At 41.0% G+C, this 26043-nt stretch overlaps 1 long non-coding RNA gene across 1 annotated transcript in view, besides 1 other annotated feature; it reads left to right on the top strand.

The window, feature by feature from the left end:
* Positions 1-16280, top strand: part of LINC01501 (long intergenic non-protein coding RNA 1501) — a 120315-nt gene extending 104035 nt beyond the window's left edge. Inside the window, exon 6 of the long non-coding RNA NR_034157.1 lies at positions 14910-16280. This is a non-coding gene — a long non-coding RNA (long intergenic non-protein coding RNA 1501). The remainder of the gene's footprint in view (positions 1-14909) is intronic.
* Positions 18102-18603: an enhancer, noted in NCBI's record as "NANOG hESC enhancer chr9:93222391-93222892 (GRCh37/hg19 assembly coordinates)". NCBI's record gives its function as "activates a minimal SCP1, AML or CMV promoter by ChIP-STARR-seq in primed H9 embryonic stem cells {active_cell/tissue: H9 hESC(primed)}" and the evidence as "EXISTENCE:reporter gene assay evidence [ECO:0000049][PMID:30033119]".

Below are 26043 nucleotides of genomic sequence, written 5' to 3'. Positions count from 1 at the left end.
GACTCAGGCTGGGGCAGCTCTGTCCAAGGTGAATGCTATGGGTCTGGCTGGTGACCACTAACTCATTTAATTCTTTTCCCTCCATCTTTCAGCATCAAGACCAGATACTGCAAGTTGTAGACACTTTCGAGTGGCCGGAAGGAATGAGAGTGGAGTGCGGGAGAGGCTCTCCTCTCCTTTCTAGTGAAATGTTGTTAAACGTCCTGGACCAGAGTTTACAGAAACCACCACAATGGGTTTCCTAGGGCCATGAAATGGATCCTTGGACTTTGCACACTCCCTAAAAGTCAGACCCTTTCATAACAATCATATCCACTACGCTGAACTCCAATCAAAAAAATCTACCTTCTTTCCAGAATTGAGGGATGGGTAAGGATTCTTGGGGTTTTGTGTCTACCTCAATGTGCACCTGTGCACCTGAGGTGTCCGGAGACAGAGTCTGGGGTAGGACTGACAGCAAGGCATGCCAGAATATTCTACATTATTACATTACATTAAACAATGGCATGTTTTTTCCCCCTTTCTATATGTATTTGCTGCTGCGATTTGCTTCCTCTTTGTTGATTTTTCTTACTTGGGTCATTTTATTAGGGACTGGGTGCCACGCAGGCAACAGCTTGGTCTTCAGCTTCAGCAGGAATGCGAGGGATGGCTGTGCTGGGCATCATCTGCCCACCCCCTGCATCTTCTCCACCCTTTCCCACCGGCTCTTGGCTCCAGTTATCTAGTGCTGCATAACAATCCCCCCAAAACTCAGTTGTATAAAATAACCATTTTATTTTTCCTCATGATGTTCTGGGCTGGACATTCACACAGGTCACAGTGGGATTGGCTAGTCTCCTGAGCTTCCTATAGGGCAACTCTAATGGCTGGACAGGGCTGGGATGCTTGACTGTGGCCTTGTGCCCGGTACAGGACTAGGTTCCTTTAGTACTCTCCATCTGTCACCTGCTGGAGTTGGAATGTTGGAGACAGCTTTCACTGGCTTCTGCACTCTTCACTGAAGAGGGTGGTTGGGCTGGGAGGACAAGGACAGCTGGGGTCTGGTCAGGCATCTGTCTCTCCATGCAGCCTCTCCAATGCTCATGCCTTGGCAGCCCAGGAATGGCAGCCTCCACGGCCCTACTTCTTACCCTGTAGCTGGCTTTTCCCAGAGTGAGTGGCTCAGAACAGGGGGTGGAAGCTGCTGATCTCTTATGGCCTCAAACTGGAAACCTGCACTGTGTCACTTCTGTTTGGTCAAAGTCACACAGACACAATCATCAATCCAACACACTCCCCTTAAATTCAGGAAGATATACTTAATGAAATGGAGAGAGGTCCAAGACATGGCTGGAGATGACATCCACTTTTTCCACTCCAGGTGCCCTATTATCTCAAAATGATTCAAAGTTCAATACTTTTTAAAATGCTGCACATATTGAGACATACAAAAGACAGTAGTGTAGGTGAATTGCTCAGATGTTGGATTATTTGGGCTAGAAGTGGTCTGAAGAGCATATGCTGTAGCCCCATTATTTCAGAAATAAGTGAGCCACATTCATCTAACTCTCGCTATGTTTAAAGTCTTGGCAAGATTCGCTGGTATTTCCATTACTTACAATAGTATCAAAAAGAGAAGCTCCATTCAGAATGTGTTCCATGAAAGAACCACTGCATTGTGATGCTCAAAGGCGTCTCTGGATGATGCTTATTTTATTCTTCAGCAGTTGACTTCTCAAGTGTACAAAAGGATAAAAGTCCTAATAATAGTGTATACCCTAGAAAATATATTTTCCAAAGGATGGCAAGAAGTTGTAAAAATTAGCTGTCTGTTACAGGAGGATCTTCATTTTTATCTGGAGTGGTCCATGTAACTAAAGCATCAGCGGAGTACTTTTTGTAGCACCTGCAAAAGTGGAAGTTTAGTGTGTACCATGGACTTTAGACTCTGCTGCACGCATTTTGTTTGTTCTTTTATTTATTATGAAAGATTATGTCTTCCTCTTTTCCTTTCTTTCCTCTTTTTTAAAGTTTGGACTGAATTGTATTTATTTGTTTGTTCTTTAACTAGTTTTTCTTTTTTAACTTGAGAAATAATAAGTGAATATAATAAAAGGAAAATGCCATTGTTAAAGATAGTTGCCCTGTAACAAAATAATTTTTTCACTCCCCAGAGGCAACTATAGTTGCCAATTTCTTGTGGGTCCTTTAAAAAAATGCTGTTTCTGATTGGTATCCAGACACTAGACATGTGTGTGTGCATACAAATGTGTGAGTGTGCACCTCCAATTCCTTTTCTAAAAATTTGGGGACTAGATAGAACAAAACACACAAATTGTGTACATTACTTTTTAAAATCCTAATATTTGTTGGATAAACTGCTGTGATCACTGTAGAAGCAGGAGGATTCCCACACAAAATTTGGTTCAAATATTGACATTGATGACACCATCACACCCTAGGCCAGGAGCATGTGAAAAGGTTTATCACTTAGATAACTGCTTTCTGGGGAGAACAATGCAGACCTCTCAAGCAGATCCTGGCCTGAGAGAGCCAGGAAAGGACATTGGCCTCAAAAATTAAATTATCTTTTTCTTAATGATTTAAAAAATGTATTCTGAGCATTAGTCTTTTGCCACCTACATATAATATGTATCACAAATCTCTTCTACTCTGCAGCAAGCCATTCCTTTTTTATGAGATATTTTGGTAAATAATGCTTGATTTTAACGATTCTAATTGATCAATCTTTTCCATTATGTTTATCTTGTTTGAGAAATATTGCCTTATCATAAGACCATATGTTATTTTTTGAAATGTTGTTAATTTGTTTTTCACATTTAGACCTATAATCTATGAAGACTTAATTTCTCTGTATCCTGTGAAACAGAGTGACCATTTTTATTTTTTCTCTATTTATATTCAATTTACTTGGTACTTTTTTTTAAAGAACCATACTTTCCCCTGTCCCATGGTGTTACCACTGTCCAAAATCAAGTGTCTTTTTATGCTTGGGCCTGTTAATAAACGTTCTATTGTGTTCCATTGGACTATTTATCTATCCTTGTCCCCACACTACACTGCCTTGTCAAAAGACAAAATGCAACAGATTTAGTTTAAGAATTGAACTGGCTTTTGTTAGTGAATCTAGAATGGGACAACATCTCATTTTACCAAACAAAATGAATGCTCTGATGAGCTGAGCAGAGAAGTCTGGCTTTATTGGCAATAAGAAGAAAGCTGAAACAGGAAACGAGATGGGATTCGTCTTTTCAAAGTTACGTTCTCTGTAGGGTTAAACAAGGGGGACTTCTTGATTATGCTGGCTCAGGTAAACTGGGCCCCTTTTGACAGGTGAATCTCCCATTTCTCGGAAAACTGGCCCATTTCAAAGTTCAGTTTGATCATGTGGTACCTAGACTTGTGACTCCATTCTGATTTGGTCTGATCAGCTGGGGCCTAGTGGAGGAGTTCAGTCCAAAACAACTGCTTCCCATGAATTCTATTTAACAGTCTTTACAATATCTCATATCTGATCGTATAAGTCCTCAAACTCTGTTTTTCTTATTAAGATTATTTAGGTCATTTCTGGCTTCATATTTCTGTATGGGTTTTTAAAATGAGCTTGCTAATTTTTGCAAAAAACGAAAAATGTAAACAAAACAAATCAGGGAAGATCTGCACAGGACCAACACTGATTCCTTAGTCTCAGTACAGGGAGAGCTGACATTGCTACAGAGTTGAGTCTTTTAACCCTTAAGTACTATATATTCTTCTATTGGTTTAGGCCTTGCTTAATTATTCTCAATAATTTTTTTTAGTTTTTTTGTGTAAAATTCTCGTGATTTTGAGAGTGTTTTATGCTTAGGTATTTGATTTATTTTATTTGTTATTGTAACAAGTAGAATTTTAAAGCAGCATTTTCTTATTTCCTCCTGTTGGCATGTAGCAATACAATTTAGTTTTGTATAATAAATTTGTATCTAGAGACTTTGTTAATTTCAATGATTAACATGCTAAATTTATTTGTGGATTCTTTTGGATGTTTTCCTTGCACAATCATGTCATCCTTTCTCAGAATGAGGACATTCCTATCTGTTACATGTGAGCTGAGAGTTTTAATCATAGTGAAGGGTTTGTAAACCAACCAACCAAACAAACAAAAAGAGACTGAGGCCAAGTCTCAACTGGTTTTGAGGTTTATTTTGCCAAAGTTGAGGACACACTTAGGAAAAAAGAAACACAAGTTACGGTTGGTTTTGTGACTTGTGATTCTTCCAAAGAGGGTTTTGAGGACTTCAGTATTTAAAGGGGGAAAGAGTGAGCAGGTGGGAAAAGACAAAAGGCAAAAAGAGAGTAAGAGTATAGGCAATGAGGAAGTGGTTACATTCTTGTTAGGCTTTTGTTAGCACTCACTGAATCCACATTTTACTTATGGAAGGAGGGGATAGAGCAAGCTTGTACAACCCACAGCCTGTGGGATGCGTGTGGCCCAGGACAGCTTTCAATGTGACCCAACACAACTCTGCAAACTTTCCTAAAACATTTGTGAGATTTGTTTGTGATTTTTGTTTTTTTGTTTTTGTTTTTGTTTTTAGCTCATCAGCTATTGTTAGTGTTAGTGTATTTTATGTGTGGCCCAAGACAATTCTTCTTCTTCTTCCAATGTGGCCCAAGAAAGTCAAAAGATTGGATATCCCTGGGGTAGAGGAACAGTCTACTATGCATTCCTCCAGTGCTTGGTAACTCTACATTTCACATAAGATAAAGTAAGCATATGAAGTTACAGCTATCTTTCTGAGAACAAAAGGAAGGCAGTTTTTGTGTGGCTCAGTCCCCAACCTTAACATTCCCTTCGGTGTAGTGAGTTGGGAGTCCTGAGATTTTATTTTCCTTTCACAGGTTGGATTTTAATTCTTTTCCAGCATTTTTAGGATTATGTGATTTTTCCCCTTTATTCTGTTACTATCGTGATTTTATTTATTTATTTATTTTTGAGACAGAGTCTTCCTCTTGGTGCCCAGGCTGGATGCAATGGCGCTATCTTGGCTCACCACAACCTCCACCTCCCGTGTTCAAATGAGTCTCCTGTCCCAGACTCCCGAGTAGCTAGGATTACAGGCCTGCACCACCAGGCCTGGCTACTTTGGTATTTTTTTTTTTTAGTAGAGACGGGGTTTCTCCATGTTGCTATGTTGCTCAGGCTGGTCTCGAACTCCCAACCTCAGGTGATCCACCCTCCTCGACCTCCCAAAGTGCTGAGATTATAGGCTGAGCCACCACGCCTGGCCTATAGTGATTTATATTGATTAATTTTCTAATATTAAACTGACATTGCACTGCTGAAATAAACAAAACTTTGTTATGATCTAGTATCATTTTATGCATCTCTTTATTTTGTTTGCTACCATTTTACTTGGAATATTTGTATCTATGTTCACGAGAATGATTGGTCTACATTTTCCTTCCTTTTAATGATACATACATATTTTGATCATCAGATTATATTGTTCTTATTATTTAGTGGAGAACCCCCTTTTGCTATACTCTGAAAGTATATGTGTAAGGTTTATGTTATTTCTTCATTAAGTGTTTTTTTTTTTCCTCAAGGCAGGGTCTCAAAATAATTATCTGCTGAAGCCATCTGGTGTGGAAGTTTTCTCTGTGGAAAGAATTTTAATAATGGGTTTCTTTAATAGTTACAGGACTACTAGCACTTTTGACTTATTGTCACTTATGTTTGGGTTAGTTGTGTTTTTCTAGAAATTTGTCTAAAATTATTGCCATGAAAGTTTTATAAGGATCTCTGATTATCATTTCTGTCTGTATTTGTAGCTTTGTTCCCTCTTTCACCCTGAAGTATTTATTTATTCTTTCTTTGCTGTAATCAACATTGCCAGTCATTTATCAATTTTTTAATCTTCTGAAGAGCCATCTTTGTCCGTCTCTATTAAGTATTTTTTCTTATTTTGTAATATTCTGCTCTTGTTTCAACAATTCATTCTTTTTACTTTATTGGAGTTTAATTTGCAATTACTTTCTACTTTCTCAGCCCTTACTGATTTTCCAACCTTTCTTCTTTTCTAATATGCACTTTTAAAGCTACACATTTTTCTCTAGACACAGCTTTAGAAAAATTTCATGTTTGATCTATTGGATCTTCATTATTATGAAGCCATTGTGATTCTTTTGACTCATAGACTATATCCAATGTCATTGCTTAATATTTCCACATTTAGAGATTCTCCAGTTTTCTTTTTATCATTGACTTCCAGCTTCATTGTGATCACAGAATCATACTTGGTATAATTTCAGACCTTTGAAATTTATTGACTTTTATGGCAGATCATATAGTCAGTTTTGACAAATATTTAATGGACATTTAACAAGAATTAACATCCTTTGTGTGTGTGTGTGTGTATGTGTTTCTTTTCTTTTTTTCTTTTCTTTTTTCTTTTTTTTTTTTTGACACGGTGTCTTGCTCTGTCACCCAAGCTGGAGTGCAGTGATGTGATCATAGCTCATTGAAGCCTTGAGCTCCTGGACTCAAGCCACCCTCCCTTCTCAGCCTCTCAAGTAGATGGGACTACATGTGAGCACCACCATGTCTGGCTAATTTTTAAATTTTTTTGTAAAGATGAGGTGTTTCTATGTTGCCCATGCTGGACTGGAACTCCTGGAGTAAACCGATCCTCCCTTTTATTTGTTCCAATACTTACAGCTTTTCTGTCTCCTTCTTAAGGCTTCTCAAAGTGCTGGGACTATAGGTGTGAACCACCCCACCTGGCCTAGAATGAATATTTTATGTAATGGCTTATTTCCATCCTTTGCTTTCTTTCCTTGATTTTGGAGGCTGGTTGCCCTTCCCACTCTTTATACTCTTTTGGTTGAAATTTTTGAGATAATTGTTAATTCATATGTAGCTATAAGAAATAAAACAGAGATTTCTTGTACTGTCTGCTCGGTTTTCCCAAACGATGACATTTTGCAAAGCAGGAGTATGTCACAACCAGGAATGACATGAGTGTGGTGCTACTCCCCCTGCCATTATCCACAGGCAGACCTGCTGTCTCTGGGCAATGGAGGAGAGTCTCAAGGCCAGTGGGGACAGAGCAGCTTCCCCAGTCACGCACCTTGCTATGGCTGTGCCCCTCCTCCTGATTTCACCTGCCTTCCCAGTTATCTTTCTTCAGAAAAGGGAGTTTCAGGCCCAGATTGGGAGGAACATGTCTCCACTGGGCATGTATTTCTGGTGGGTCCCCAAACCACTCCACTTGCCAGTGGTGTCTGATGGAGTCTTCTTCCATTGGTGTAGGAATAAGCCTGCTCAGATGGCCTCTGCTGTACGTGGGAGTTGGCCTTCTTCTTTTAGAAGATGCTTATGCTGTTGGGCCAGTCCTGGAGTCCCCAACCAGTCTGCTGTCCTGTTTCTCCCTTTCAGAGTCCTGCCGTGCTTGTCTGGTGCCATTTCCAGGGTCTACGGTTGTGCATTGCAAGGAGCAGGGGGAGAAACCAGTCTGTACCATCTTGTCTGGACCAGAAGTCTCTGATTTTTAAAAAATATATTGTCTGGATTACTAGTTGTTTTCAAAAAGTCAGAGAGGAATAAAACTAGAAAGCCAAAAACAGAAGAAAAATGGGAAAATCCACAAGTATGTAAAAATTAAAAAGCATACTTTTAAACAACAAATGAGTCAAAGGAGAAATCGTAAGAGAAATTAGAAAATATCTTGAGATAAATAAAAATGAAATGACAACATGACAAAACTCACGGAATGCAGCAAAAGCAGTACTAAGGGGGTAATTTATCACCATAAATGCTTACATTTAAAAAAAGGTGTTAAATCAACAACTTTAAAATGTAAGGAATTAGAACAAGAAGGACTAACAGGGGCTGGGTGCGGTGGCTCACGCCTGTAATCCTAGCATTTTGGGAGTCCGAGGCAGGTGGATCACTTGAGGTTCGAGACCAGCCTGGCCAATACGGCGAAACCCCGTCTCTACTAAAAATACAAAAAAATTAGCCGGGCGTGGTGGCGTGTACCTGTAATCCCAGTTACTCGGGAGGCTGAAGCAGGAGAATCACTTGAACCAGGAGGTGGAGGTTGCAGTGAGCCAAGATCGCTGCCACTGCACTCCAGCCTGGGTGACAGAGTGAGACTCCATCTCAAAACAAAAACAAAAAAACAAAAACAAAACAAAAAAACAAACAAAAAACAGAGGAGAGAAAAACAATAAAGAAAATAAGTGAAACCAAGGGTTGGCTCTTTGAAAAGGTCAACAAAATTGACAAATTTTTAGCTTAAGAAAAAAAAAGAAAGAAGACTATTTAAATTCTAAAAGGCAAGACTTTCATGGCTTAAGATGCTCTGTGGAGTCACTCCTGATCCGTTCCTATGTTATCCTTTCCTTTATTATCGCTCTTTGCTACATTCCCTGTTTATACCTGGTCTTCCGCAGAGCCCCACTTCAGTCTGTCCCAGCAGCTTACCAGAGGGTTCTCTCAGCACAGGCACTCTCAGTACTCAAATCTGCATTATTCAAACACGCTTCAGGAAAAAAAAAAAAAATGCATTGTATCTAGAAACCAGAGTCTGAAGCTGTGAAGGCAAATGAAGCCATGGAGGATCTTTAAAAGGATCTGGGAGTAGAGGCCCAGGGCACGGTATGAGCCGTTCTGTACAGGGCTGCCTGAAACCCAACCCTCTGCAGAAAGGAGCCTCCAAGGTTCTGCTGCTGCCCCTTAGCCTTGATAAATTTCAGATGGCTGAGCATAAACAACCAGGGATGCCCCAGGCCACATTTTGCCTTTATATTTTTTCTTGGGGGAAAGCTTGTTTTAAAGGCACTGTTACATTTCTTTAGTCCTTTCCCTGTAATATTGAGCTATTATTAAAATATCCCCAAATCTTGATAAATTTTTTAAAATGTAAGATGAAGGGTTTTTTTGCCCTTCACCATTAATGATTCTATAAAATTGAATTGCAGAGCAAACTGATTTTGAACCTCCCAGACTTGATGTACATGTTAATGTTCAGCTAACTCAGCGTTTCCCGAGATACCACCGGAATTGAGAAGCTGCCGCTGACCGACATTTCTGCTGCTCACCACGTCCCTTTGCCTCATTAAGAACGGCCTGGGAGACCCAGGGGAGTTCTGAAGCATAGGGTCGCAACTGAGTTGGACTTCAATTCATGTAATTGCTTTACCCTTTGGTGGTTGATTTAAAATTTTATACAAATGGTAAATAGTAGCCCTGAATTCCCTCAAATGACATTTTTTTGAGTACTGTTCTAAGCATATCTCTTATGTGTAAATAATGCTAAAGCTCTCAGCCTTTGATTCTATTAATACGGGATATACTTGTGGACAAAAATGAATGTGCGGTTTGTTTCAAGATGGTGGAGGCAGCGGGAGGTAGGGTTTAGGCAATTAAAAATGCCAGGGAAGGCTGGATGTGTTGGCTTACACCTGTGATTACGGCACTTACGGAGGCCGAGGTGAGTAAATCATTTGAGGTCAGGAGTTCGAGACCAGCCTGGCCAACATGGTAAAATCCCATCTCCACTAAAAATACAAATATTAGCCGAGTGTGGTGGCAGGTGCCTGTAATCCCAGTTACTCAGAAGGCTGAGGCATGAGAATCACTTGAACCCGGGAGGCAGAGGTTTCAGTGAGCTGAAATGGCGCCACTGCACTCCAGCCTGGTAGACAGAGCAAGACTTTGTCAAAAAAAAAAAAAAAAAAAAAGCCACTAAGGAAGTTTGTCAAAAAGTCCCTCACTTCCTTTCAAAATCTACTCTTGTAATTTTTGTAAGAAAAGTTCCATCTCATATAAACTAGGTGTTTTCGTCTTTAAACCTACCATTATTCCTCTGAACTTTTAATATTGAAGCAGCTGGCAGAGCTCTAAAGTACTTTTGATTATTTAATGCAAATTTTTGCAAGAAACCCCAGCAGGCTCTCCATTTTAGTGGAACACAATTCTTTCAAATTATTGCTGAAGCTGCTCACATTTAAACTAAATGTGCATAAAATTTAAGCAAACGCCACATTAAAGTGTAACTGCACATTGTCAATCAGGGCAAGGTAATCACACTGCTTGGGGAAGGGTGATGGGGTGGGCCTTGGGGAGGGACTAGGCACAGGCCCTGGGAGGATTAGTTGCTGAATATACTCAGCAGGTGTGGGCTGGGAAGAAGTCCAGTTGTTGGAACTCAAGATGAGCCCAAAACTGCATACTGGGGGAGGAGTGTGTCCTTATTGGTCACAGATCTCCTTTGGGGACCAAAATAGGCTTCAAGTGCTCTGCCCTTGTCTTCTGGGCATTCAGTTCTCAGCACCTGGGGCTCCTAGTGAGAGCTTTGTTTTGCTGACTGATCCCCCTCCAACCCATCCACAGCAAGCTGGAAATGCCCTCCAATAGTGCAGGGCAGGAACTGTATCTTGCTAGCTCCTGGCTGGGATCAGTCTTACAGGTGCTCCACAGCCCCCACAGCCCTAAAATGTAACTTTCTCATTAACTGCCCCCCGCAAGTCTGGGCTTCCTACTCTGCCCACCTCTCAGACCTTCCTGGGCTCATCTCTCAAATACGGTCCCTTGAAAACAATTATTCCCAACCCTTGTTGGAGATGGTAAGACAGACTTGATCCAAGCAGGCCACAGCGATGGGGAACACAGCAACAGGGTTGTGCAGTGGAGGAGAGATTGGACTCAACTCCAACTTCAACAAAGACAAGGGGGCTTTTAGCCAAGCAGCAGGGTGGGGTCAAGGGGTGGGAAGTGATGTAGAAAAACACCAAGAGTAAGAAGTAAGAAGTAAGAATCCCACCGACTCAATGGGATTCTTGCTGAAGGCAGGCCAGGGTGATCAGGTACAAACAGTGTAGTGAGATACTAAGGGTGAGGTGTCTTTATTGAACTGACTTCGCAGGATTCCTGATCAAACTGGATTCAACAAGACAGAGAGGGAAGCCCAAGGTCAAGTCTCTTGGAAAGAACTCACAAGGTTGACTCAAGTTCTGGTCAAAGGAAAGAGTGTTTGCCAAGTCACCTGCGCTTGCCATGAAAGCTCAAATTTGTGCCAGTGGGACTGATGTACAGTCATGCATCGCTTGACGATGCAGACACGTTCTGAGACATGTGTCGTTAGGTGATTTCATCATTGTGTGACCACTGCAGAATGCACTTACACAAACCTAGATGGTGTAGCCTCCTACACAAGTAGGCTACATGATGTAGCCTCCTACACAAGTAGGCTACATGATGTAGCCTCCTACACAAGTAGGCTACATGATGTAGCCTCTTGCTTCTAGGCTACAAACCTGCAAAGCATGTTGCTGTGCTAAACACTGCAGGCAACTGTAACACAATGGGAATATTTGTGCATCTAAATATATCTAAAGATAGATACAGTAAAAATACAGTATTATAATCTTATGGGACCACTGTCATATATATGGTCTGTCATTAACCAAAACATGACTATGAGGTACACATGCTTAGGTATGTTAGGTAACATTTAGGTAACTATGAGGTATACAACTGGGTGTAAGTGGGCTTTGAATTTGCTTTTACTATGATTTACAAGACGGATGCCAGAAACAAACACCAGCTGACTGGCACTGAACAGGAATCTAAGGTTCCTGCCTGCATTTCCAACACACCCTGGCTCCCTGAGCACTGTGCACCTCCGGCCTTGCAGCTCGGGGCCACCAGTAGCCCTTCATTACTGCTCAGTGGCTCCAGGCTGTAGTCCACACCCTCTGCCCACTCTAATTTTCCCTCTTTCCTCCTGTCCTAGTTCTATCCATCCTCTGTTCTTTCTTGCTCTCTCTTTTGTTTTCTTCCTCTGGCACACAAGACATAAGAGCAGCATAGCCACAAGCAAGGCTTAGTTAGGTCTTTTTCAAGGTGAGATGCCATGGGTACTATAACGCTTTTGTACATCTTAACTGTATAGCATGGAAAAACTGTGTTACTATTGTTATTAGCTTTCTGTCTTTTTATGTGTCACTGGCAGTCATGGAGTGTTGTGCCAATAACCCCATTTTCCCATCTGCCCTGCAGCTTTCACTTAGTGACTTTAGGAAGGCATGTGTGCATTATGGCAAAAGTGGCTTTCAACTTGGCGACTGAATTTTTGGCTCAGCCTCTTCTCAGCTAGCTTAGTATGCTCCGTTACAAGGGAAGAACTGATAGGCTAATTGGGCTAAATTATAAATGTCTGCTAAAGATTTAATGTCTTCTGTCCTCTGAAGGGTGTTTGGAGACTCCCACAGAGAACCATGGGAAAGCATAAGCAATACATTTCTGAGATTGGGAAGGATACTTGCAAATCATATATAGGAAGCATTATGTTATATAACCTCTGTACCAGGAGGAAGTCCTTTCAGATCACTTACTTGGAAGTAGATCCAATCTCTCCATGCTCCTTCTCTCCCTTTTTTAAATTTAGGTGTGCAGGAAAGCAGAAGGAAGGAAAGCCAAAAGGAGAGATTCTCCAACCACAGAACAAATCCTTAAGCCACATGGAGCAAATATCTGATAGTGAATAGTCTAGAAAGCTGTTGAGGGGAAATAAACAGAACTGAGCTAATGCTGGCTGGAAATAAGCATGAGCAGTGTGTTTCAGGGCACACTGGGAAGTCAGATTTCCTGTGGTCCTGATTGAATGGACTTATGCAGTAGTGAACCAGGAACAAGAAACTCTATGGAAAGAATAAGACTTTAAGAACTATTTTTACATGCAATTTGGAAGGAATAATACTTTGAGGACTATATTTAAATAAGTATGGCCCTTAAGGAATCACAGGTAGAGTTACCAAGACTACCTTAGAATAGGCATGGGAGCATTGATATCATGAAGTCTCCTGCACACTGTAGGGTTGCATGGACATGAACATGGCACTTCTTGGCATTCAACACAGAGGATGTGAGTAGCATAGGGATGGAAATCTCTTCTGATCATATTTAGCTCAAGTGCTTCATTTTTATGCTCAGTCCTTAGGCAGACAATATTAATCCCAGGAAAACAAAAGAGATTATATATGATTTGATTTATACATGTTAATGCTGCTTTTATCATTTTAGTAAAATGCATTTACAAGTTCTCATTTAAAAATATAGGTTCAGTCTAGTCATTCTCATTCTTTTTGATATTTTTACAGAATAGATTATTAATTATTAATGATTCCTGAGATTTTGGTGTTCAAAATGAACATAATTTATGATTCTGCCCTAACATATTTGTTTTAAGAGGACATCTCCTTGATGTGTGTGTGTGTGTGTGTGTATATATATATGTATATATATGCAAATGTATATTTGTATATGTATATGCTTTTGTTTATTTGCTCATGTGTATACCCCCCCCACACACACATATGTATTTGGTTTTTAGGCATAATTTGTTATATAAGAAGGGTTTGCTGTTTTGTTTGTTTTGTTATTCTTATTTGGTTTGCTTTTTCTTAATGAAGGACTCTGAACACAGCATGGTACAACAGAATGCCTTAGGGAATTTTAGCTCCACCAGTCTCCATCAGACCTCACCAGTCATTCCAAATAAATCATGAAGAGGAAACAGTGCAGCTGCTATGCAAATATGATGTCAAGAGAAGAATTCTCCTCTTTCACACACCCAATATGCTGCTACTGCCCCAAGACTTCGTTAGACAGAAATCCCTGAGCCATTGATTGCATCTGCAAACGATGTAATAATATTATTTCTAAATAATATTTGAAGAGTACTTCATATTTTACAAATTGTATTCATGCATCACCTTTCTGAATTTTTACAACAGTCTTGTGAATTAGATAATATCAATGCCATTTTACAATAGACTCTGGTGACTTTGTGCTTTGATGAAAACAACACGTTTGCAGGCAGATAGTGAACTGGAATTGGATGTCATTTTGGTCACCAATCCCACTTATTTTAGGATGAATTTAGAATTCAAAGATTGGAATAATGCATGTATAAGAAGGGGATCTTTCTCAAGACCCATTTGCAAAACAGACATGAATGCTGATTATTTTGAGGGTGGAAAACAGAGGTGAACTATTACTTGTTGCAAAGTGTTAGGAATTTTATGTTTATCTGAATCCTGTTAGCCTCTGGTTAATGGGGATCCTAGTCATTTTTTCAATTTGCAATTTTTTCAGTTTGTATAGGAGTTGCCAGACTGTAAACAAAGTGAGAGTGTCTGTGCCAGTGCTGGGCTCGGCAGTGTGTGCTGCTGTCAGGTTGTAGCAGCTGGCTAAAGCTAATGTTAAAGGAGTTTCACCTTCTTCTCATAAAACCACTAGTAGCTAGGCCACGCACGGTCGCTCAGACCTGTAATCCCAGCACTTTGGGATGCAGAGGGAGGCGGAGCACAAGGTCAACAGATCGAGACCATCCTGGCCAACATGGTGAAGCCCCCATCTCTACTAAGATACAAAAAATTAGCCAGGCATTGTGGCACGCACCTGTAGTCCCAGCTACTCGGGAGGCTGAGGTAGGGGAATCGCTTGAACCCGGTAGGCGGAGGTTGCAGTGAGAGGAGATGGCGCCACGGCACTCCAGCCTGGGTGACAGGGCGAGACTCCGTATCAAATAAATGAATAAGTAAAAATAAATAAAAAATCCCTCTCTACTAAAAATACAAAACTTAGTCAAGTGCAATGGCCCACGCCTGTAATCCCAGCTACTCAGGAGGCTGAGGCAGGAGAATCGCTTGAACCCAGGAGGCGGAGGTTGCAGTGAGCAGAGATGGCGCCACTGCACTCTAGCCTGGTGACAGAGAAAGACTCCATCAAAAACAAACAAACAAACAAAGAAAAAAAAACATTAGTAGCTTGAAGTTGGCCATAGTGGGAGAAATTACATCATGAAAACTGGCAAATTCTTCAAATGAGTGCTTTTTATTTTTATTTATTGCAGAGAGCTGGCTTACCAGAGCACCGATGGACTTGGATACCTGAGATATCTGCTTGGGATCCCACACTTTCAAGGTCTCTCCTCTGGCCTTCTTCTGGTTCTGCGACTCCTTACAGCGCTGGGAGTTGGTGATGCCAACAGGACATACGCTCCCAGAGCCTACCTCTCCCAGATCACTTTAAAAGGCACCCAGGACCCCAGAATTCTCATCCTCAAAGGCATGGAGCTCAGCTCTTGGCCCTCAACAAATCTCTTCCCCATAAAGATCCTTTTGAGAGCTTAGGATGTCCCCCGGATGGTTTTGGTTGCAGATTGTGGTGGTGGAGGGAGCTATACAATTTAATCTATTGCCATTAATTGGATGCGCTAATGGCAGATTGGGTAGTGATAATGCCATAAGAGGTAGTGTGTGAGCCGTGTGCTGCATCTGTGCTAGCTCAGGTAAGTCAGCACACAGCACCTGCAGCCTCCTCTCACCTCTTCCCTGAGCAGCACCTTTTCACCTGAACATGCTGATCCCCTAGTGCTTCATCTTGACAGCAACTTAACAAGCCCTGGGCAGCTTTTTAAAATAAATGACTATGATATTGACTATGAATCTACATAAAAGCCACTTGTTTTTTAGTCATAATCTGTGTCTAACTGCAGAAGAAATTCACACCTTTGAAAAACAAATAAAAATGTAAAAAGTGAAAATTGTTTGTAACCACAATATTCTGAAATAGAACCTTTTTGTTAGATCATTTTCAAGAGGATTTTTCATACTTTCCTACAGTAATACCAATGTATATGCACTTGTATAAATTCTTGGTTAAAATATTCATAGGGTGTATGTGTCTAAATATAGAATCATACCCTATTGTACAGTTCTAGTAAATAGCTATTTTTTTGCTTTTAACTCAGAAAATATATATTTGTATTATGCTTTACGTTCTGGGATACATGTGCGGAACGTGCAGTTTTGTTGCATTGGTATATACGTGCCATGGTGGTTTGCTGCACCCACCAACCCATCATCTACATTAGGTATTTCTCCTAATGCTATCCCTCCCCTAGCCCCCACTCCCTGACAGGCCCCAGTGTGTGATGTTCCCCTCCCTGTCTGTGTCCATGTGTTTGCATTGTTGAACTCCCACTTATGAGTGAGAACATGCAGTGTTTGTACCTGTGTTAGTTTGCTGAGAATTATTGTTTCCAGCTTTGTCCATGTCCCTGCAAAGACATGAACTCATCCTTTTTTATGGCTGCACAGTATTCCATTGTGTATATGTGCTACATTTTCTTTATCGAGTCTATCATTGATGGGCATTTGGGCTGGTTCAAAGTCTTTGCTATTGTGAACAGTGCTGCAATAAACATAAAGTATGCATGTGTCTTTATAGTAGAATGATTTATAATCCTTTGGGTATATACTCAGTAATGGGATGGCTGGATCAAATGTTATTTCTGGTTCTAGATCCTTGAGGAATTGCCACCCTGTCTTCTACAATGATTGAACTAATTTACACTCCCACCAACAGTGTAAAAGCATTCCTATTTCTCCACATCCTCTCCAGCATCTGTCGTTTCCTGACTTTTTAATGATCGCCATTCTAACTGGCATGAGATGGTAGCTCATTGTGGTTTTGATTTGTGTTTTTCTAATGACCAGTGATGATGAGCTTTTTTTCATATGTTTGTTGGCTGCATAAATGTCTTCTTTTGAGAAGTGTCTGTTCATACCCTTTGCCCACTTTGTGGTGGGGTTGTTTGCTTTTTCTTGTAAATTTGTTTAAGCTCCTTGTGGATTCTGGATATTAGCCCTTTGTCAGATGGATAGATTGCAAAAATATTCTCCCATTCTGTAGGTTGCCTGTTCACTCTGATGCTAGTTTCTTTTGCTGTGCAGAAGCTCTTTAGTTTAGTTAGATTCCATTTGTCAATTTTGACTTTTGTTGCCATTGCTTTTGGTGTTTTAGACACGAAGTCTTTTCCCACGCCTATGTCCTGAATGGTATTGCCTAGGTTTTCCTCTAGGGTTTTTATGGTTTTAGGTCTTAAATTTAAGACTTTAATCGATCTTGAGTTAACTTTTGTATAAGAAGTAAGGAAGGGGTCCAGTTTCAGTTTTCTGCATATGGCTAGCCAGTTTTCCCAACACCATTTATTAAATAGGGAATCCTTTCCCCATTGCTTGTTTTTGTCAGGTTTGTCAAAGATCAGATGGTTGTAGATGTGTGGCATTATTTCTGACACCTCTACTCTGCTCCATTGGTCTATACATCTGTTGTGGTACCAGTACCATGCTATTTTGGTTACTGTAGCCTTGTAGTATAGTTTGAAGTCAGGTAGCGTGACACTTCCAGCTTTGTCCTTTTTGCTTAGGATTGTCTTGACTTGACATTCATGCAAAATATTGTATATTTAAGTTCTTTATTTGCAAAGGATACATAAATTTCATTTCAAAAGCAATACAACAAAGTGTTCCAACAAAAACAAGGTAACTTAACTTTTCCAGGATAAATGATTCATGCTTTTATTAATTTATACATTTTCTTCTGAGAGCAGCTTCACATAGTCAAGTCTCCTTTTCAAGGCACCTGTTGGTTATATTGCTATTTAACCCTCAACCACATGCTCCTTTGGAATATTTTTTATGTGATTGACATGCACTTTTACTTGACTTTAAGGAATTTTTCTTGCTTTTCTAACCAGATTGTGTCATGAGGTCAAGAAACTTGTAATATCTTATTCTATTATCTGTGGAGCTTAAAACTCTACTATGTGATGGTAGTTTTATTGGATAGGAAACATGTGAGGGTAGGGAACAGTATAAACACTCAAAAGTTTCCAAATAAATAAATGATGGGTGCTCTATAAATGAGCACCAGATATGAGCTGCCATCACAGGCTGTCTCAAATCTGGAGGTCATTTCAAAGCACAAATAGACCCAGTGCCCTTAGAGATCTCAGTATGACCAAGGGTTGTAGGAAAAAGGAATCTGTGTTTTGAAAAGTGTTTTTGGGTCACTCTCATTTACCTGTTTTTTGTTTGTTTACTTTATTTTTTATCTTATTGAGATCAATGAGCTGAGATTATCATGCGCAGTTAGACCTCAAAGGGACTTCAGGGATCCCTCAACATTTCCCAAACTGGTGAATAGTAAAAATGTCCACCTTGAATTCTCCGGTCCTTCCCTGGAGATTCTGACGTAATAAGTCCAGGGTGGGCCTGGGTCCATCTACTTAAATAAGGACTCTGGCTGCTCTGTTTATGGGGCATTTGAAGCATGTGAGGAAGCACGTCCCCAGGAGCACTGGTAGAACAGACAGAAGGCATGCATGGCAACAACAAAGGTTGCTCTGGCGTTTGCCAAGGTTTATTGTGTCACTGTAATTACAGGTTGAGCACAGCTACATTCCTCAGCACAATAAAGTTGTCGGAGCCCACTCCCGAGGCAATTGTTTCCCATTAGGGAAATGTTGGGTTTCCTTTAGTGATGAAAGGCAATAACACAACATGTAATTCCTGTAGCTGTAATATAATGCGTCCAGAACCAAAACACAACCCTCCCGGGAGCCATATCTACAGAGTGCCCAGAAAGGTGAGATGTTCTCTCAGATTGAGAGGTGACCTCTTTATCTTTTGCTGATGTGAATTGACGTCTCTACTCCCCAGAAAGCTGAAATGTGACAGTCTTTGGACCTCATTTTCTCCCTCACAACAATTAAGCAACACGTACATGCTGAGATTCACAAGGCTTCAGGCTTAGCTATGCCAAAAGAAAAAGATGGTTTTTGTCTGATTTTTTTTTTTGCTGAAATCTTTATAAGTATTGCAGATAATTCTAGTCCTAGAGGTTTTGTAAAAGTGATCTGAAATTTCTCCTTCTGAAGCTTTCAGTATTATAGATAATTATAGCTCTGCAGTGATCTGTAGAAATGATAGTGGACACACAGCATTTTCCCTGCCTCTCTCTCTCCTCTTTACGGCCTACTCTTTCTTTGGGAGCTTTAGCCTCACTCAAAAAGACTCAGGCCTATATCTTCTTATAGACTCTTACAAAATGAGTAATGAATCAACAAGTGGACATAAATTAATAGTAACTTAGGCCAGCTTAAATATAGAGAGATGCAAACTTTTATGTTAGAATCCTAGTATACCTTTGTTTTATGTTTGTAGGTAAACACGTTGTAATAAGAGGATAACAAGGGAAGTTGTTGAAGGTGGAAGGGAGAAGATAGTAGGTCTTAGGGCCTTTGTCAGTGTCATCTGCAGACAGCTGCACACACTGTAGATGTTTGCATAAACTTCTGATTTCTGATCTACATGTGCCTCGTGGGCTAGTTTCAGAAACTCATCTCTAACTGAAACCAGTTTCACAATTTCATGTTGTGTTCATGGACAAGAGACAAAATGGGAGTTGTTTGCCTCGGATTTGTGGGGAAAATCGTTTTGGAAAGATCTTTGTCAACTATTTAAAAAATTGATTTCCAGCCAGGTGCAGTGGCTCATGCCTGTAATCCCATCACTTTGGGAGGCCAAGGTGGGTGGATCACGAGGTCAGGAGATCGAGATCATCCTGGCTAACACGGTGAGACCCTGTCTCTACTAAAAATACAAAAAATTAGCTGAGCGTGGTGGCGGACGCCTGTAGTCCCAGCTACTCAGGAGGCTGAGGCAGGAGAATGGCATGAACCCAGGAGGCGGAGCTTGCAGTGAGCTGAGATCAGGCCACTGCACTCCAGCCTGGGCAACAGAGCGAGACTCTGTCTCCAGAAAAAAAAAACAAAAGAAATTGATTTCCAAGAAATTTATATTGTGATTTGACCTGGCAAGTGAGGGTCAGAAAGTGTCATTTGGAGTCTATATAAAAAATAACTTTTGCTTAAATTGTTTCCAGTCCAATCCAGTCCAGTCCAACCCAAGTGTTACTGAAAACAAAATATCTCTTTATGAAAACCTCCACAGAATACTGAGAGCAGAAGGCTACGGCAAGACTGGCGCCTGCAGCCTTGAAGGGTTGTACCCAGCAGCGGGGAAGGGGAGGCAGGGATGGTGCTGCTGACATCCATCAGCAAGCTAGCCCAGCTGTGAGGTCTTCCTTGGTCACCAGCAGGTGGCCACAGGGACTCTGGCAGTACACAGGAAATGACCCTTGGACTCCATAGCTATCAATGGGCAATCACTGCTTCAGAGAGGCTGGGAGCAGAGCCAGGGAAATACTATGGGCATCCAGGACTGCTCTGCACACCACGTTGCTGTGTCATGGAAACAGTTTTAAAATTTTGAGAAAATTAGATTTTCTATTTTGCAATAAATACCAAAAATAATTTCTGCAGGAAATAAACCTTTTTTTTTCTTCAAAATATTTACCAAGGGCCTTCTTATATGTGCCTCATATGTTTTGGGCTTAAATTAAAAAAAAAAAATAACCTCCTTATTAAATACTGCCTTACTTAATTTTTATTCACTTCTATTTCAGAATTCTTCTGAGATTACTTAATATAACTTATTACTTTTGCAGAATTGTACAGTCTCCTAGGACAATGTAATAGCAAAACCTAAAAAATAAAAATAAAAGTCAAAAACAAAAACCCAACCCAATCCATCTTCTACTAGCAGCTGATAAAATATACACTGCCGAGACTTGAGTATTATTTATCACTTCTTTCTCCTAGATACACATCACAGCACACACACACACACACACACACACATCCCCCATACAACACACATATTCCCACACACACAAACACCACATGCACATCCCCCACACAACAGAATCTTATAGACAGGCATTAATCAAATAATTCTAAATTGCATGGGAAATTTCCAGAGTGATCAGTGCTATGTAAGGGAGACCATCGTGCCCTGAATACATGCAGTTGAGTCATCTAATTCAAGAAAAATGCCTCAGGGAAGGTTTTCCTGAGGTAATGAGGAATAATCTGGAATCCAAAGGATGAGCCTGGATTTACTAGGAAAACAGAAGTGAAAAGGGCCTCTGACCACAGGAAAAACAGCACGTGTGCAAGTACAATGGCCGTGAAGGCTGACCAGCTCGTGGGGCCCGAAGGGTGTGGACACATGGCTGGAGAAGAAGGCATGGGCTGGTCCTGGACCAGCGGGTCACATGCTGCCAGGGTAAGGACATTTATCCCTAAGAGCAGTAGCAACACAGAGCCATTGGGTGTTTTGACAGGCACAGCAGGAGGACCTGGAAACTGATGGAATCAGGCTTGCATTTCAGAGCATCAGCGCAAAGGATGCAGTGGATGTGAGTGGGAATGCATCCTTGTAGACCCATTAATGGGGCTAGGGAAGGAATGATGGTAGGTAGAGGTAAGGTGTCAGCACCTATTCCCTCTACCCGAAATTCCCAACCAGATCATCACATGACTGTCTCTTTCTCATCATTCAATCTTAGTTCCAATATATTCACCTCAAAAAGACCTCCTTTCACCACTCTATATATTGTTGCTCCCTCTTCTTCTCATGGTGTTGCCAGACCTTTGGTCTTGAATTTCTTATTCACAACACTTGCCATGATCTGATTCAGCAGGGCCTCAAACAGCATGGTTTTGTTACAACATTGATAAGAAAAACAAGTGGCTCCCGATTTCCAAGGGCCACTGAATGTGTGGCGTTTGCAAGTTCTCCCTACAGAGAAAGTGGCTCTTCTCAGGGTACTCTGGTTTCTCCCATATCACAAAGGTGCGTCCGTTAGGTGGATGGGTGTGTCCACACATCCCAGTGTGAGTGAACGGGTATGGGTGGGTGTGAGTGCACCCTATGATGGATGGCATCCTGTCCAGGGTGGGCTCCACCTTTCACCCTGCATTGCAGGGACAGGCTCTGGCCACCCACTACCACAAATTGGAATAAATAAGAGGACTCAAAAAAGGAATGAGAGGATGAATACAAATTATTGTAAAATAAAAATGTGCAAGGTCTATGATCATCACGCAGATGTGTGACAAGGACCGATGAGGTACGAAGATGCTCAGCGGGCCCGTCAGATTGGTTCTTGCTTGCTTTTGAACTGAGTTGTGGTAGGAGGTGCTCCTGACAATTTTTGCCTTGCAAACACTTATTGCCTGATTTAACCAACCACTACTGCCACTGCAGTCCCTTGCTGATTCACCAAAAATGGAATAAAAAATTATCTTAAATATGTGTATATCTCACATGTATTTCAGTGTTTAATATTACAAGTGTTTGGGTCTTTCTATTATTTTTTTCTTATAGAGTCTCGCTCTGTCACCCAGGCTGGAGTGCAGTGGCACAATCTCCGCTCACTGCATCCTCCGCCTCCTGGGTTCAAGTGATTCTCCTGCCACAGCCTCCCGAGTACCTGGGACTACAGGTGCCCACCACCATGCCCAGCTAACTTTTTTGTATTTTTCGTAGAGATGGGGTTTCTTCATGTTGGCCAGACTGGTTTCAAACTCCTGACCTCAAGCGATCTGCCTGCCTTAGCCTCCCAAAGTGCTAGGATTGCAGGCATGAGCCACTGCGCCAGGCCATGTTTGGGTCTTTATTTAGAAATTTGGTGATGTTTTTGTGACTAGAAATGTGTCATAGGAATTTAACTCTTGTTTACATAAATTAGCTTATGGCAAAATTGGTTTAGTTGTATATCATTTTGCTTAAAGTCACAGTTTCCAAGAACCAGTTGATGACATTAAGTGAGGACTTACTGTACTCAAATGTTTGCTTCTGTGAGTTCATGTTTTTCTCCTCCCTAGAATGTAATCTCCAGGGAGCATGAGCCTATTCTTCTTCCTGTATCACTGTGTCCCCACTGCGTCGTAAACCCCTGGGACACGAGAGATGCTCACTGACTTATATTTTATGAATAAACAGAGACAAATAAGCATATTCTAGAGGTACCAGAGAGGCCACACAGGCAGGTGTCAGCAGTAGATTGGCTGCAGTGAGGAAGGAAGGCATTAGGGGCTACTTTTAGGCTTGCATCGCTGGTAGAAAGAAAATGTTAAGATCATTTAGGGGGTCCGGGGGACAATGAGTATTTGGAATAAACAAACAAACAAATAAATAAATAAATAAATGAGTAAATAAGTCAATCAATATTTGTACCTTATGGCAAAACAATGGCAGTTCGGAATTGATGGAATCGTAGGAGCTCTACTCTAGGCCAACAGTTTTGGGTTTTGGCAGACCTGATGTTCCAGTTTCGATCAACCTGCCCAGCAAAACAAACAGGAAGGAGAGCTGAGGGCCCTCATATTTTGCTGCTTACTGGCTGTGTTTCTATCTCTGGCCTTGCCAGGGCAGCCCGCTGGAAATGATCTAAGATAAGTCCTCTGTGTTCTCTAGGAAGTGAGGTCTCAGAAGCCACTGGATCCTGGAACACCTCACTCTTGCTGATTAAATTCTGCAGCCTGCAGAGAACCCCCTTGTCTCTGGCAAGCACCTTCTGAACACAAAATAGAAAAGACCTCAAGCAGAGCTGTGGGGAGAAAAATGTTCTGCCTTCCAGTGATGTGAGAAAAGAAAACACAGTGAAGGCCAGGGTAAAGGAGAAGATGAAGTTGTTTTGATTTTCCCACAGGGGATATTCAGCAGATGAATTTGCCTATTTTCTTTCTCCTAAACAGCCAGGCTACCTTGAGAGAAGCAAGAGATCCTCTCCCTTTTGCCAAAATCTGCCTCCCCCAGGAGACTGTGCTTTGCTCATACACATCATTAGAAATTATCCTTAAATATTAAAAAATAAATGAATATTCAATGAACGACTAAAGTTTCTCTAGTTTGAAAGCAAAGCCTGTAAACCTTTATATATTCGATTATACAAGGAAGATGAAAATGAACTGATTCATGGGCAACCCTAATTAATAATGAAGAAGGCCAGAAAAGTGGCCCTGTCATTGGTGGTGGCTGGAAGTGATGGGGAAAGCCTAAGGGAACTTTCAGGAGTGATGGCAAAGTTCTATATCTTCTTGGGAATTCGGTTACACAGGTGTATACCAAATTTGTCAAAACTCATTGAAATGGTCCCCTCAAGTTTTGTGCATTTCCCTCTCTGTAACTTTAACTAGAAAAAAACATAGAATAGGTACATCTTGAACTCAAGTCAATGATATGTACCCCAAAGTATTTAGGGTGAAGAGGACTGACCTCTACAACTTATTTTAAAATGTATTAATAAGTGAGGTGGCCTGGTGGTGGCTAGAGGGAAGGAGGGATGAATAGGTAAGTCAAAGCAAGGGTAGTAACATGAATGGTAGGTTCTGAGTCCTGGTCATGTTCATGTTCACACTGCCATGGCTTTTCTGTGTTTGAACACTTGCAAAATGAACTGATGGGAAAAAATGAACTAGTTAGAATTGTGCCCAATGACCATTTCCCACCATATGAAATATCTCTTTTCTTAGAAATGCAGGAGTATAATCACAAGGGGTATTTCTGCTTTGAACTTCTGACTTAGATATTGAATTTGTATGTTACCCCAAATCCAATCAAATGCTAACAAAGGCAAGTTCCTTGCTGCAGAGAGACCAGATAGTATTGTTAAGGGACATTATCCTAAACTAGTCTACAGCAGTGGGTTCAAATGACAGTGCTGTGGTGTTTACAGTTTTAATTCTGCTCTCTTCCCTGAGTTATATTTATCCTCACTGAAACAAGTTTTGCAGCATGAGTCCTCATGTTCAGATGCATTGTTTTGATTTAGTGAAGATATATTCCATGTATCTAAAAGTATCATGCAAGTATCTAAAAATATATTTGAAGAAATGCTTATTATTATCTCCAATTTATAGATGTGTTTATACTGGACAACAGCATCATTACCATTAAGCGGAATGAAACTTTTTAGCAGCAGCTCATATATTAACAAAGAAGCTTGCATAATTATCATGTAGACAGTAAAATGCACAAATATAATTCATCTTTATAATTTTATGTTTGTAACTCTGATTTGCCTATAGTAGCCCTGAAATGGACCTGTTCGCCCACCCGTATGATCGCAATGGCTATTTCCTGGTTTAAATTTATTGTCAGAAATCCAGGTTCCCATGATAGGTGGTTTCAGGCACAATGTGTGCAAAGTGGCTGCAAAGGAACAGCAGTTAGACTGAGCACTGATGGTAAGCACATCTTAGCCAATGTTTGAACTAGGGTGTCTGGAATGAGAAAACTAGTAATGATCCTCCAAGTATGAGAAGGCCTAGAATTCAATGAAGATAGTGTGGCAAAATTCAAAGTAACCTTTATGTAAGCCCTTTTTCATGCAAGCCAGGAGTGGTTGAATAGTGACCTGTGCAAGAACCCACACAGCATCTCAGATGGATGTTCAAATAGTCCAATGCTCTAAAAATCTATGCTGAGTGGTGGCAGGGACAGCTTCATGGGCTTACAAATTGTGCAAGCATCATAGGCTTGCAGCAGGGTCCTGCTCTCGGGAGGGTCCCCATGTTGGTTTAATGATTTGCTGAGATTCATTGGAACTAACTTAAACTTTTACCTTTAAACTCATGTTTTTTAAGTGAGGCATGGACATTGGAGAACACACATGAGTGAAAAGCTCCGCTTGGGGACAACGCTTCCACACACAGGCTCAGGCTTAGGAACATGGCTGCAGTGTGTGCACCAAGCAGTTGCCCTGAGCACACCTGGGGCAGTCCGGGGAATGGTGGGGCCTCAAAAGCACAGGCCGGTCTGGGATCTGGGTCCACACTGCTGGCGGGTACTGTGGCAGTAGACAAAGGAGGAATTCTTCACAGGCAACAGTGGACTCAGAGGAGGAAACTCCAGGGCTCATGATGTCAATTTTGTCAGCAAATTGTTACCAAAAAGTGCACATATGGGCATTGCAATAATGCATATCAGAAAGTTATGAGGTTCCTTGTAAGGATTTAGAACCCATAGTTTTAAAAATTGCCGCAACATTGCAAAGCAAATACTCGTAGTACCAGAAATAAAAATTACATTTAAAGTTTATCACATTGAACAGAAAAAGCCACATTTCCATAAGGGGCTTCTGATGAATCCATTATGAAGAAGAGAACAACGTTGGAATTAACTTTTCCCTGTAACTGAAGTTACAAGGATAACTTGCAAAACAGGCCTTTGAGTTATATACAGATCACAAAGCCACTTAGCTCTTCTTGTACACCCTCCGCAAGCTAT

Source organism: Homo sapiens, chromosome 9 (assembly GCF_000001405.40).
Source record: "Homo sapiens chromosome 9, GRCh38.p14 Primary Assembly".
Classification (NCBI taxonomy): domain Eukaryota; kingdom Metazoa; phylum Chordata; class Mammalia; order Primates; family Hominidae; genus Homo; species Homo sapiens.
Note: the sequence above shows the minus strand (reverse complement) of the source record. Positions and strands in the feature narration are given on the sequence as shown.